This window comes from Homo sapiens, chromosome 21 (genome assembly GCF_000001405.40).
Source record: "Homo sapiens chromosome 21, GRCh38.p14 Primary Assembly".
In the NCBI taxonomy this organism is placed as follows: Eukaryota; Metazoa; Chordata; class Mammalia; order Primates; family Hominidae; genus Homo; species Homo sapiens.
The window spans coordinates 16,388,050-16,401,154 of NC_000021.9; the positions used below are offsets into that span (position 1 = coordinate 16,388,050).

Genomic DNA, 13,105 nt, shown 5'->3' on the forward strand with positions numbered 1-13,105 from the left:
GGCATATTTCTGAAGATTACTTGTGTGGAAAGCATTTGTTTCCCAAATGCTTTGTTGACTTGCATCATTACTTTCCATGTGAAAAAATGCATGTTTTAGCGTCTAAAAAAAAAAAAAGGCAGAAATATCTTATTTTCCCCTTTCCTGATGATTTGTCCTATAATAGTCTTTGGAAAGATTTATAATGAGATTGAGTTTCAGAGCTTTGTAAGCCTCTGTTCACGAGTATACATCCTTTATCAAAAAATATTTTTAAAATGTGAAGTTATTTATATTAGCATTCTCCAGAGAAACAAAATCAATAAGGTATATATGTAGATAGATATATGAGAGGTAATTTGTTAGGGGAATTGGCTCATGTGATTATGGAGGCTGAGAAGTCCCATCACAGGCCACCTGCAAGCTGGAGATCCTGGGATGCCTGTAGCGTGACTCAGTGCAAGTCTTCAATCCTCAGAATCAGCGAAGTCGAGGGTGGAACTCTCAGTCTGAGGCTGAAGTCCTGAAAACCTGAGGAGCCTCTGATGCAAATACCAGGGTCCAAATGCTGGAGAGCCTGGAATTTTTGGTGTCGGAGTGTTATAGGAAAGGGGTCCTGATCCAGACCCCAAAAGAGGGTTCTTGGATCTTGTGCAAGAAAAAATTCAGGGTGAGTCCACAGTGCAAAGCTTTCAAGTTTATTAATAGTAAAGTGGTGAAAGTACAGCTACTCCATAGATAGAGTAGGGTGTTCCTGAAAGTAAGAGGAGAAATGCATCCACACTAGATACAATACTTGTTTATGTATAGTATAAAAAAAAATCATGGGGACCTGTGCTCTGCTACTAGGGTTTGTGATAAAGGATTAATTTTCTTAATTAGTATATTTTGCAAGAATCAGTATTATGATCTTTAAAGCAAAATTAGGAATGCTTCTTTTCTCAAGATAACAGGATATCAGGACACTCCTAAGTCTGGGTCTGTTTAGTAAACATTATCAATCTGTTCCCTTGCCCGTAAACATCTAGAGGCTAGGAATACCTAACTTCCTGGGAATGCAGCCCAACAAGTCCCAGCCTCATTTCCCTAGCCCTCACTCATGATGGAGTCACTCTGGTTTGAAAGCCTCTGACACCAGGTCAGGAGAAGAGGGGTGTCCTATCTCCAGGAGAGAGAGGGAATGAGAATTTACCTTTCCTCTGCCTTTTCCACCTATATTGAGGGTGGATCTTCTCCACCCACTCCACCGACTCACACAGTAATCTTCTCTGGAAACATCCTACTAGACACACCCAGAACTAATGCTTTACTAGCTCTCCAGGTAGTCTTTAATCCAATAAAGTTGACACCTAAAATTAATCATCACAGTCTTTTTTTTTTTTTAAACCACACAAGTTATCCATTTTCTTTCTTAGTGACTACTAGGTAGGAGTATTAGACAACTTGAAATGTTGAAATTTAATTGTTTCAAGTTATCCATTAATTATCCTGGTTAGAAAATCAGGCTTGATTGGTGTACCTCTTTAATGAATAGCGCAGAGAAATCACATTAAAATGTGATACTGTTAAACCAATGTGTTAATTCTTTGACACACTTGCTTTCCTTCTTTCATTTTCCAGTGTGCCTCTCTCTCAAAGTTTCCAGACTCTGCTTTTTCACTAACTTCCTTATTCATTTTGACCAATTCCTGCCTTGACTAATTTACCCTAATCAATTTGCAATCTGATTTCTTTCCCTACCACTTCATGAGACTGCTTTGCTCCCTCAAGAAGTGCAAATGACTTTCTAAGCTAAATCTGCTACTTGCGTGCATCATTGACAATGCTGGCCACTTTCTTTTTCAGTGAAATTCTTACCCTCTTGTAACATCTGACAAACATTATCTCTTGGTTCCCTTGCTGCTTCTCCAAACATATCTTCTATTCTCATTTTTGCTGCTTGTCTTTTCAAATATAGGCATTCCACAGGTTTATTCTCCAACCATGCCGTGTTTAGAGAATGCTCAAATGCTCCCAAAACTTCAGTTATCACCTTCGTGCAACTGACTCAATCTTTACCTTGAATTTGCATATTCATCCTGAACTTTTTGTTCTGAATTTCCCATAGGTACTACAGATTCAACTAGGCACTAAACTGAGATTATTAGTTCCCCTTATAAACATCAATTTATTTCTCCTACTCTCACTCCCTGATTTGGGCTGAAGTTAAATTCAGTGTTTAGGTTCTCCCATCCCACTTGTCCTCTGCCTCCTAAACCATATTATTCTTTTAATCTGGACTATTCTCTCCCTCTGTCACTTTATGTTTGAACATGATAATTTTTCATTTAGGTACAGCTTGAGTTCTATCTCAGTGATACCTACCCTATTCAATTCAGAAAGAATGAAAGAACTCTCATGTAATTAACTTCATTGCATCGTGTTTCATCATTAGTTGTAGACATGTCTGTATTGTTTTCCTCATCAGAATGTAAGTCTCTCAAGCGATCTTTGTGGAACTTGTAAGTCGGTCATTACCTTCTTTCTTTCTTTCTTTTTTTTTTTTTTTTTGAGACAGAGTCTCGCCCCGTCGCCCAAGCTGGAGTGCAGTGGTGCAATCTCCACTCACTGCAAGCTCCGCCTCCCAGGTTCACACCATTCTCCTGCCTCAGCCTCCTGAGTAGCTGGGACTACAGGCGCCCGCCACCATGCCCGGCTAATTTTTTGTATTTTTAGTAGAGGTGGGGTTTCACCTTGTTAGCCAGGATGGTCTCGATCTCCTGACCTCGTGATCCGGCCGCCTCAGCCTCCCAAAGTGCTGGGATTACAGGCATGAGCCACCACACCCGGCCGCTCATTACCTTATTTCTATAATGATTTGTGAATTGGCCTGAAATAACTCATCCCTGCTTTGTTGTTGTTGTGTTGTGTTTTGTGATTCAGCCCTGTAAACGGCATGCTCCTCCCAGGAATGATAATGCTACACTGTAACACAGATCATTGGTGTTTCAAAAAACCCATCCATCCATGTCTTCATTTATTTGCAAAACAAGGGCAGGAAAAACTAGAATTAAATCGTTAATTCTCTCTCGGTCTCTCAGGGCAATATGTTGGGCAGTTACTTGAGTGAGATATTTTTTATCAAACCAAATATGCTGAGGCAGGAATAACATCAAAGGTGTTTGTGATGTACTGTTGCTCTCATTAGTTACCTGCAGATCAAACAGGTATCTGTTCTAACACTTCGATTTTGAAACTTAATGCTGTGTTTGTTAAATTTACTTAATTAGGACCTCTTAACACCTCAGATAGTCGCTTAAAACAACAACAACAAAAACAACAGTAATACCCAGCTGTTAGCCCTGCGGATGAAACAATAAATGCAAAGTTAACACTTTTTAAAGGTGAATATGTACATTTTGATGCCTCGACAGCATTCAGTAAAAATCAAGTGTGCTTAGAGATAATCTACTAAGTTGCTGATTGTTTCTGGACCTGTAACTCTTAATAAATATTGCAAATATCTAAAAGATATGGATCATTATTTAGGGGAAATGTATGTGTATGCATAAATGCAATCTTTTATAATCTAAAAATACTTTTCAGGAGCTCTTTCTGAGATGAAGAGAATTCTCAATGTCAAGATTTGAACAAGAAGAGAATGGAATACACAATATGGTAAGTGACTTGCAAAAAAGATCAATGTGACCACATTTCTAGTGCTCCATTGGGCAGTTATCACTTGTAAGTTGCATGCATAGAAAAATGCATACTTATGGTAGTCACTGTTGCAAGCAGTTCTGAAATATTAACACAGTTGATCAAAATTGTTCCACTCCTAAAAGCTTATTTTGATAAACTTGGTGTAAAAGATACTTGGCTATCACTCATGGCAGGTGATTTTACTCTAATTTTTAATTAGGGAAAATTAAGGTTGCTTATGTGATTAATGTCACGCACGTCCATGTGAAGAGACCACCAAACAGGCTTTGTGTGAGCAATAAAGCTTTTTAATCACCTGGGTGCAGGTGGGCTGAGTCTGAAAAGAGAGTGAGCAAAGTGTGGTGGGATTATCGTTAGTTCTTATAGGTTTGGGATAGGCGGTGGAGTTAGGAGCAGGGGGTAGATCTCACAAAGTACATTCTCAAGGGCAGGGAGAGTATTACAAAGTACCTTTTCAAGGGTGGGGGAATATCACAAAGTACCTTCTCAAGGGTGGGGGAATATCACAAAGTAACTTCTCAAGGGTGGGAGAATATCACAAAGTACCTTCTCAAGGGTGGGGAAATATCACAAAGTACCTTCTCAAGGGTAGGGGAATATCTCAAAGTACATTATCGCAAGGGCGGGGAGGGTGTATTGTCATAAGGTCAATTGATCAGTTAGGGTGCGGCAGGAACAGGTCACAATGGTGGAATGTCGTCAGCTAAGGCAGGACCTGGCTATTTGCACTTCTTTTGTGGATCTTCAGTTGCTTCAGGCCATCTGGATGTATACATGCAGGTCACAGGGGATATGATGGCTTAGCTTGAGCTCAGAGGCCTGACATTCCTGTCTTCTTCTGTTAATAAGAAAAACAAAACAAAATGGTGGTGAAGTGTTGGGGTGGCAAAAATTTTTGCGGGTGGTATGGAGAGATAATGGGCGATGTTTCTCAGGGCTGCTTTGAGCAGGATTAGGGGCAGTGTGGGAACCTAGAGTGGGAGTGATTAAACTGAAGAAAGATTTTGGGGTAAGGGGTGATATTGTGGGGTTGTTAGAAGCAGCATTTGTCATATAGAGTGATTAGTGATAGTCTGGATGCAGTTTTGTAGGAATTGAGAGATTAATTGGAAGACACAAGGGCCAAGTAAGAGAAAGAGAAAAACAGGTATCAAAGGACTAAGAATTGGGAGGACCCAGGACATTCAACTAGAGAGTGCCCAAGGGGGTTCAGCCTAATTATTTGCTTGTTTGATGAGTTTTTGGGCTCTATCCTTGCATTTTTTTATGTTGTCATATACCAGGCCAGACTGATTTAGGTAAAAACAACACTCTTCATTTAAAAATACACAGAGTCTTCCTTTTTCAGCAGTGAGTAAGTCAAGGCCTGTTCCTGTTTTCTTATATTAATAATAATAATAAAAAAACAAAATAGAAGTAAAGTGTTAGTGTCATGAGGGGAACAGGAAGCTGTTCGGTCCTATTTGCAAATTGATTTTGGGGGTAAGGCTAACTAGTGTACATGTGCCTGTCTAATTAATAGGTAGACACATGTAGGTGAAGGAGCCACAGAGGAGGAAGACATCTTTTTTATTATTATTATTATTATTATTATTATACTTTAAGTTTTAGGGTACATGTGCACAATGTGCAGGTTAGTTACATATGTATACGTGTGCCATGCTGCTGTGCTGCACCCATTAACTCGTCATTTAGCTTTAGGTATATCTCCTAATGCTATCCCTCCCCCTTCCCCCCACCCCACAACAGTCACCAGAGTGTGACGTTCCCCTTCCTGTGTCCATGGGTTCTCATTGTTCAAATCTCACCTATGAGTGAGAACATGCGGTGTTTGGATTTTTGTCCTTGCGATAGTTTACTGAGAATGATGATTTCCAATTTCATCCATGTCCCTATAAAGGACACGAACTTCTCATTTTTTATGGCTGCATAGTATTCCATGGTGTATATGTGCCACGTTTTCTTAATCCAGTCTATCATTGTTGGTCGTTTGGATTGGTTCCAAGTCTTTGCTATTGTGAATAGTGCAATAAACATACGTGTGCACGTGACTTTATAGCAGCATGATTTATAGTCCTTTGGGTATATACCCAGTAATGGGATGGCTGGGTCAAATGGTATTCCTAGTTCTAGATCCCTGAGGAATCGCCACACTGACTTCCACAATGGTTGAACTAGTTTACAGTCCCACCAACAGTGTAAAAGTGTTCCTATTTCTCCACAACCTCTCCAGCACCTGTTGTTTCCCGACTTTTTAATGATTGCCATTCTAACTGGTGTGAGATGGTATCTCATTGTGGTTTTGATTTGCATTTCTCTGATGGCCAGTGATGGTGAGCATTTCTTCATGTGTTTTTTGGCTGCATAAATGTCTTCGTTTGAGAAGTGTCTGTTCATGTCCAAGAAGAGAACTTTGTAAGGCAAAACTGGAAATGTAAAGTGAAAAGACAAGAGGGAGCACCAAAACAGGTGTCTTGCACCCAGACTCTTAGGGATTTAGTAAGGGCAGCAGCCGTTAGAGGTTGTAATGGGGATTGATGGAGCAACTGGGTAGAAGGGGAGGTTTGATTTTTATGGTGTATGAGAAAGTACAAAGTGTCTACGAGTAACCGTTCACTGCTATTCATGGGGCTGGGTATAAGCAAGCAAGAGGAGGGGCTAAGAGGAGAGTCCAAAGAACAAGGGGAAGGTAGCTAAGGATGGAGTGAAATGCAGGGCAAATGTCTTAAAGGAAATGAGAGGTTCTAAGAGGCGGGCTAGTGGCTTGTAACTTACATGGAAGAGGTTATGAAAAGACGAAAGAATGGACTGAGCTTGTGAGGCAGGAAGGATGAGTTTTCCATGATCTAAGAACCACTTGCCCTGAGTTGGAAAAGACTGGTAGAGCAGGTTTTCAGAAGAAGAGTAGGTGGGAGTGATAGAGGAGAAAAAAAAATACTGGCCCTCCGGAGTGGGGGCTGGAATATTAGCGGGTGTGGAGGCATTGGTTATTTTTTTTTTGCAATAAGATCAGTAGGTTTCTGGTGTCCTTTACAATGAATGATTCCAGCCTTGGCTGGCAGGAGAACAACCTTAAGGGCCTCTATTAGGGAGGCATTATTAGTGGAAGAGCTTTGTGTGGTAAGGAAGCCTCTTTTGACCCAGATGGCAGCATGGTTATGGAGGATGTGGAAAGCATATATGGAGTCAGTATAAATGTTAATGTGCATTCCTTTAGCTAGAGAGAGCACACGAGTTAAAGCAATCAGTTTGGCTTGTTGGGAAGTGGTGGAGGGAGGAAGTGCAGCAGCTTCAATAATAGAGGTGTGGGACATGACAGCATATCCAGCTTTAGCTGGTGAAAATTGATTGGGTTTAGAAGAACCGCCATCAATAAACCAAGTGTGGTCCGGGTTTGGAATGGGAAGATTAGAAATATGAGGAAAGGGAGAAGATCCTATGTGTGTTAGGGAAATACAGTCATGTGGTTCAGGACTTGTGTTGGGTGCTAAATGAGAAGCTGGGTTGAAATCAGGCCCATGGGTAATAGTTACTATTGGAGTTTCAACAAAGAGTGAATAGAGCTGGAGGAGTTGGGGGGCAGACAATAAATGTGAAAGGTATGAGGAGGATATTAATGCTTGAAGGTTGTGAGAGCTGTAAAGGGTAAGTGGAGCATAGCCTGTGATTTTTGATGGCCTCTAGAAGTATTTAAATGGCACAAACATGAGGGCCAGCCCAGAATTGTGAAGTTGAGTTGTTTGGATAGAAAGGCTATAGGGCACGGTCCCAGCTCTTGTGTAAGAATTCCGACTGCACAGTCCTGTACTTTGGTTGTGTGTAATGAAAAGGGTTGGGATGAGTTAGGGAGAGCTAGTGTGGGAGCAGCTTCTAGGGCTGTTTTTAAGGAATGGAAAGAGGAGTGGGGAAAGGATCTAGGATCTATGGGGCCAGGTAGGTTTCCTTTTGTGAGTTTATGTAATGGTTTAGTCAGGATGGCAAAATCAGGTATCCAAAGGTGAAAGTACTTAACCATGCCTAGGAAGGAAAGGAGCTGTGGCTTTGTAGAAGGGGTTGGGGTTTGGGAGATTAGCTGGACATGATCAGCAGGGAAAACACGTGTGTTTTTATGAAGAATCATGCCGAGATAGGTAACCGATGAGGAAGAAATTTGTGCTTTGGAGGGGAATATGTGATATCCCTTTGAGAATAGATGTTAGAGGAACAGGAGGGTGTCCTGTTGAGAAGATTTTGGTGGGGGGGGGCAGCTATAAAGTAGAAGGTCGTGAAAATATTGAATAAGGTGAGAAGCAGATGGACAGAATGAAAGTAAATCATGAGAAAGGGCTTGACTGAAGTAACGGGGGCTGTCTGTGAAGCCTTGCGGCAGTACAGCCCAGGTAATTTGCTGAGCCTGATGGGTGTCAGGATCAGTCCAAGTGAAAGCGAAGAGAGGCTGGGATGAAGGATGGAAAAGAATAGTAAAGGAAGCATATTTGAGAACCAGAACAGAATGATGGGTTGTGAAGGGAGGTTATTGAGGTGTGGCTGTAGCCCAGGAATAGTCAGGGAAGCAAATAATTTGGCTAAAATGTCTCGACCTAATAAGGAAGCTGGGCAGGTGGGAATATCTGAAAAGGAGTGCTTAAAAGAGTATTGTCCAAGTTGGCACCAGAGTTGGGGAGTTTTAAGAGGTTTAGAAGCCTGGCTGTCAATACCCACAACAGTTACGGAGGCAAGGGAAAAGGCCCTTGAAAAGAAGGTAATGTGGAGTGGGTAGCCTCCGTATTGATTAAGAAAGGGACAGACTTACCCTCCACTGTAAGAGTTACCCAAAGCATCTGTGATGGTCCAGGAGGCTTCCGAGGCGATCGGGCAGCATCAGTCTTCAGCTGCTGAACCAAGAAGATCTGGGAAGGAGTCAGAGAGCCTTGGGCCAGAGTTCCAGGGGCTCTGGGAGTGGCTGCTGGGATAGTTGGACAGTCCAATTTCCAGTGGGGTCCCGCAGAGATGGGACGCAGCTTAGGAGGAATCCCAGGCTGCTGGCATTCCTTGGCCCAGTGGTCAGATTTCCGTCACGTGGAGCAACATCCTGGGGGAGGAGGTCCTGAAGGAACGCCTGTCCTCTGCGGTTTAGGCAATTTGAAGGTCTTGTGTGCTGGGGATACGGCTAGGGTTTCTCTCACGGCAGAGGCAAGTAATCGCAACTCAGAAATATGTTGCCACTTGGCTGACTCTTTTTTATTATTGTACACCTTGAAGGCGAGGTTAATTAAGTCCTATTGTGGGGTTTGAGGGCTGGAATCTAATTTTTGGAGCTTTTTCTAGTATCAGGAGCAGATTGGGTAATAAAACGCATATTGAGAATAAGATGGCTTTCTGGCCCCTCTGGGTCTAGGGCGGTAAAGCATCTAAGGGTTGTTGCCAAACGGGCCATGAACTGGGCTGGGTTTTTATATTTGATGGAAAAGAGCCTAAACACTAACTGATTTGGGAAAGGTCTGATAGAGAAAAAGGAGCATTAACCTTGACTATGCCTTTAGCTCCAGCCACCTCTTTAAGAGGAAATTGTTGGGCAGGTAGGGGAGGGCTCGTCATGGAATGAAACTGTAAGCCAGACTGGGTGTGGCAGGGGAGGTGATAGAGGGGTTGTAGGGTAGGGGAGCGGAAGCTCAAGAAAAGCTGGAGCCTGATTCAGCCTGGCAGGGAGCGACCTGAGGAGGAGCAGTGTGGGAAGAAGGGGAGAGGTCAGATGGGTGGGTAGAAAAGGAAGATTCAAAAGACTTAGTGACGCTTGGGGTTGGGACTGAAGGAACAGACAGAAGAGAAAGAAGAAAGATGTGGGACAAGTCGCACTGGGAGCAGAGACTAGGGAGGGACCGATGTGTGAAAGAATGCCGGGATGTCAGTCACCTCAGACCATTTGCCCATTTTTCGACAAAATTATCTAGATCTTGTAGGATGGAGAAATCAAAAGTGTCATTTTCTGGCCATTTAGAACCATTCTCGGGTTTTGGCACCAAATGTCGCGCACATCCATGTGAAGAGACCACCAAACAGGCTTTGTGTGAGCAATAAAGCTTTTTAATCACCTGGGTGCAGGCGGGCTGAGTCCGAAAAGAGAGTCAGCAAAGGGTGGTGGGATTATCATTAGTTCTTACAGGTTTGGGATAGGCGGTGGAGTTAGGAGCAATTTGTTGTGGGCAGGGGGTGGATCTCACAAAGTACCTTCTTAAGGGCGGGGGAATATCACAAGTACCTTCTTAAGGGCGGGGGAATATCACAAAGTACCTTCTTAAGGGCGGGGGAATATCACAAAGTACCTTCTTAAGGGCGGGGGAATATCACAAAGTACCTTCTTAAGGGCGGGGGAATATCACAAAGTACCTTCTTAAGGGCGGGGGAATATCACAAAGTACCTTCTTAAGGGCGGGGGAATATCACAAAGTACCTTCTTAAGGGCGGGGGAATATCACAAAGTACCTTCTTAAGGGCGGGGGAATATCACAAAGTACCTTCTTAGGGGCGGGGGAATATCACACAGTACCTTCTTAAGGGCGGGGGAATATCACAAAGTACCTTCTTAAGGGCAGGGGAATATCACAAAGTACATTATCACAAGGGCAGGGAGGGTGTATTGTCATAGGTCAATTGATCAGTTAGGGTGGGGCAGGAACAGGTCACAGTGGTGGAATGTCATCAGCTAAGGCAGCACCTGGCTATTTTCACTTCTTTTGTGGATCTTCAGCTGCTTCAGGCCATCTGGATGTATACGTGCAGGTCACAGGGGATATGATGGCTTAGCTTGGGCTCAGAGGCCTGACAATTAGAACATACATATTTGTGATCCTACAACCATGGAGTTTCTTAAGATGACATTTAGGATTATAATACTGGTTTTAATAGCAAGCCAGGAATTTACAGTGTCTTAAAATGTGGCTTATTTCTTATTCAGACTATTCAACACACATATGCGACAGTTAAATAAATATATCCTGATATTTACAGGGCTTTTTATTTGTTTACAAAAGTAAGTTAGTTTTATGTAGTTTGTAAGAATCTTTAACGTGTTATTTTCTTTTCTTGCTGTGTTTACTACAGTGAGTATATTAAGAATGTATTTATTAGGTAAGTCTCTTTTTTACTTCTTGTGCTATTCAGGGTCTCCCAGACAATGAGTAGTAAGACAGTTGAGAGAGTAAAGAAAAAATAAGAGCAGAGAGTTCCAGAGTCATTTGTGGTGTGTGAATATAGACACGTTGCTAGCTGTGTACTCTACCCCTCCCACTACCATCCCACCCCATCAAGGGCCCAGGAAAATGCTGCATGTTTACAGTGTCATCCAGGCACAAACTACCTTTTTCTGTAGTAGTCAAATTTCAAAAGACATTTGTAGGTCCTACTTTATTTAGTTAGAAACATTCTTCTATACTAGAAGCCCTTAAATTTGGATCAAAGAGTAAGTTTTATACAAAATAATAAGTAATCACTCCGAAATTATATGCGATACATTGTGTTTATATTTTTTTTTCCTGTGGAGACCATCAGTTGGTTTTTATTAATTGTTCAGCGATAGTGATGACAGAAAAAGTTGTCTAAAATGGTTTTACAAATTTAGAATAGATGTGATTAAAATGAAGATTTTGAAAGAATTGTGGAGTTTGTTTGTATTTTATTATCATGAATTCTCCAGATTGTGTTGACTGTAAAATTTGTACACTTATGACTCATTTTAATGATTTTTTTTAGAGAAATAAAAACATTTCAAAAGAGTTTAGTTCCTACTTTCCCTTTTGTCATTCTCTGAAACCTAAAACAAATTTGCATAGTTATTCTTGCAAATAAAAAAAACATAAAATTTTATTCATGTTTGTTCTGTAGTCATTTTACAAATTCCTAAAATAGGCTCTTAGTTAACCTGTGGCTAAATGTATATTTTTTAAAGATATCTATTATTTTACAAATATTCCCATGATATTGGCTTTGTTATCTGAATATTGATCTCTATTATCTCCAGATTATTTTGTTTTTTGTTTTTTGTTTTTTTTGCTTGCTTTCTGTCACAATTATAAATAGAAAAACCAGTTCTGACCCAAACATAATTTTTCTTTACTTACCTGGAAATTCTGGAAATTATTTGTTTTGTCTCCTACATAGTATCTCTCTCCCTGCTAATGCCAATGTATGGCCTCCTACCTCTGTTTATACTCATGAAGATACTTATTCTTTAGTATTACAGCAGCATATTTTATCTTCATCAAACTCTATTAACAAAGATTCTCCAGCCCATGTCTACACTAACTGATCACCAGTTTTATTCTCTTTCATTAGATATGCTAATTATAAAGAAATACTCTAGATATTTTGACGATTTCTTTGGTGGGGGAAAAGAGGAGTGTAAGGATATAGAAGAAAATAAACTCAGATTCTCCTGCTATACTCTCACAACACAGAACATGTCTGTGACCAAATGTGTGTGGATTTTTTTCCCCACACACACTAAGCAATTCTCCAGCAATTAATTCTGCAGTGGACACCAGCTGGGTGTCCTCTAATTCTATTCAGTTCTGACTCTCAACCTCAAGATAGTTTCTGAGCCCACAAGTTGAGGGCCCAGTCCTCTTACTGACCCCACACACTACTTCAGATACCAGTCACAAGTAGTAGAGCCCATACTTCTGACCAACTGTCTGTAAATCAGGGTTCCCACGATCTTCTCTCTCTTTTTTTTTTTTTTTTTGAGATGGAGTCTTGCTCTTTCACCCAGGCTGGAGTGCAGTGGTGCGATCTCGGCTCACTGCTACCTCTGCCTTCCTGTTTCAAGTGATTCTTCTGCCTCAGCCTCCCAAGTAACTGGGATTACAGGGGTCTGCCACCACGCCTGGCTAATTTTTTTAATTTTTAGTAGAGACAGGATTTCACCATGTTGGCCAGGCTGGTCGCGAACTCCTGACCTCGTGATCTGCCCACCTAGGCCTCCCAAAGTGCTGAGATTACAGGCATGAGCCACCATGCCCAGTCATTGTTTTTTTGTTTTTGTTTTTTTTTGAGATGGAGTTTCGCTCTTGTCACTTAGGGTGGAGTACAATTCGCAATCTCGGCTCACTGCAACCACTGACTCCCAGGTTCAAGCGATTCTCCTGCCTCAGCCTCCCGAGTAGCCGGGGCTACAGGCGTACACCACCACTCCCACCTAATTTTTGTATTTTTAGTAGAGAGATGGGATTTCAACATGTTGGCCTGGCTGATCTCAAACTCCTGACCTCAGGTGATCCGCCTGCCTCGGCCTCCCAAAGTTCCGAGATTACAGGCGTGCACCACCGCGCCTGGCTGATCTTCTCTTTGAGTTTGATTAATTTGCTAGAGTAGCTCACAGAAGTCAAGGAAACACTTATGTTTACTGGTTTATTATAAAGCATATTACAAAGGATACATATCAGTGATC

At 41.7% G+C, this 13,105-nt stretch overlaps 1 long non-coding RNA gene across 9 annotated transcripts in view; it reads left to right on the forward strand.

Annotated features, from left to right (window-relative positions):
• MIR99AHG (mir-99a-let-7c cluster host gene) overlaps positions 1 to 13,105 on the forward strand; it is a 561,240-nt gene that overhangs the window by 317,562 nt on the left and 230,573 nt on the right. For 8 of the 9 annotated variants that reach the window (NR_136541.1, NR_136542.1, NR_111005.2 and 5 more), the window contains one exon: positions 3,565 to 3,636. The exons of the other annotated variant lie outside the window; for it this stretch is intronic. This is a non-coding gene — a long non-coding RNA (mir-99a-let-7c cluster host gene). The remainder of the gene's footprint in view (positions 1 to 3,564; positions 3,637 to 13,105) is intronic. 9 annotated transcript variants of the gene reach the window in all.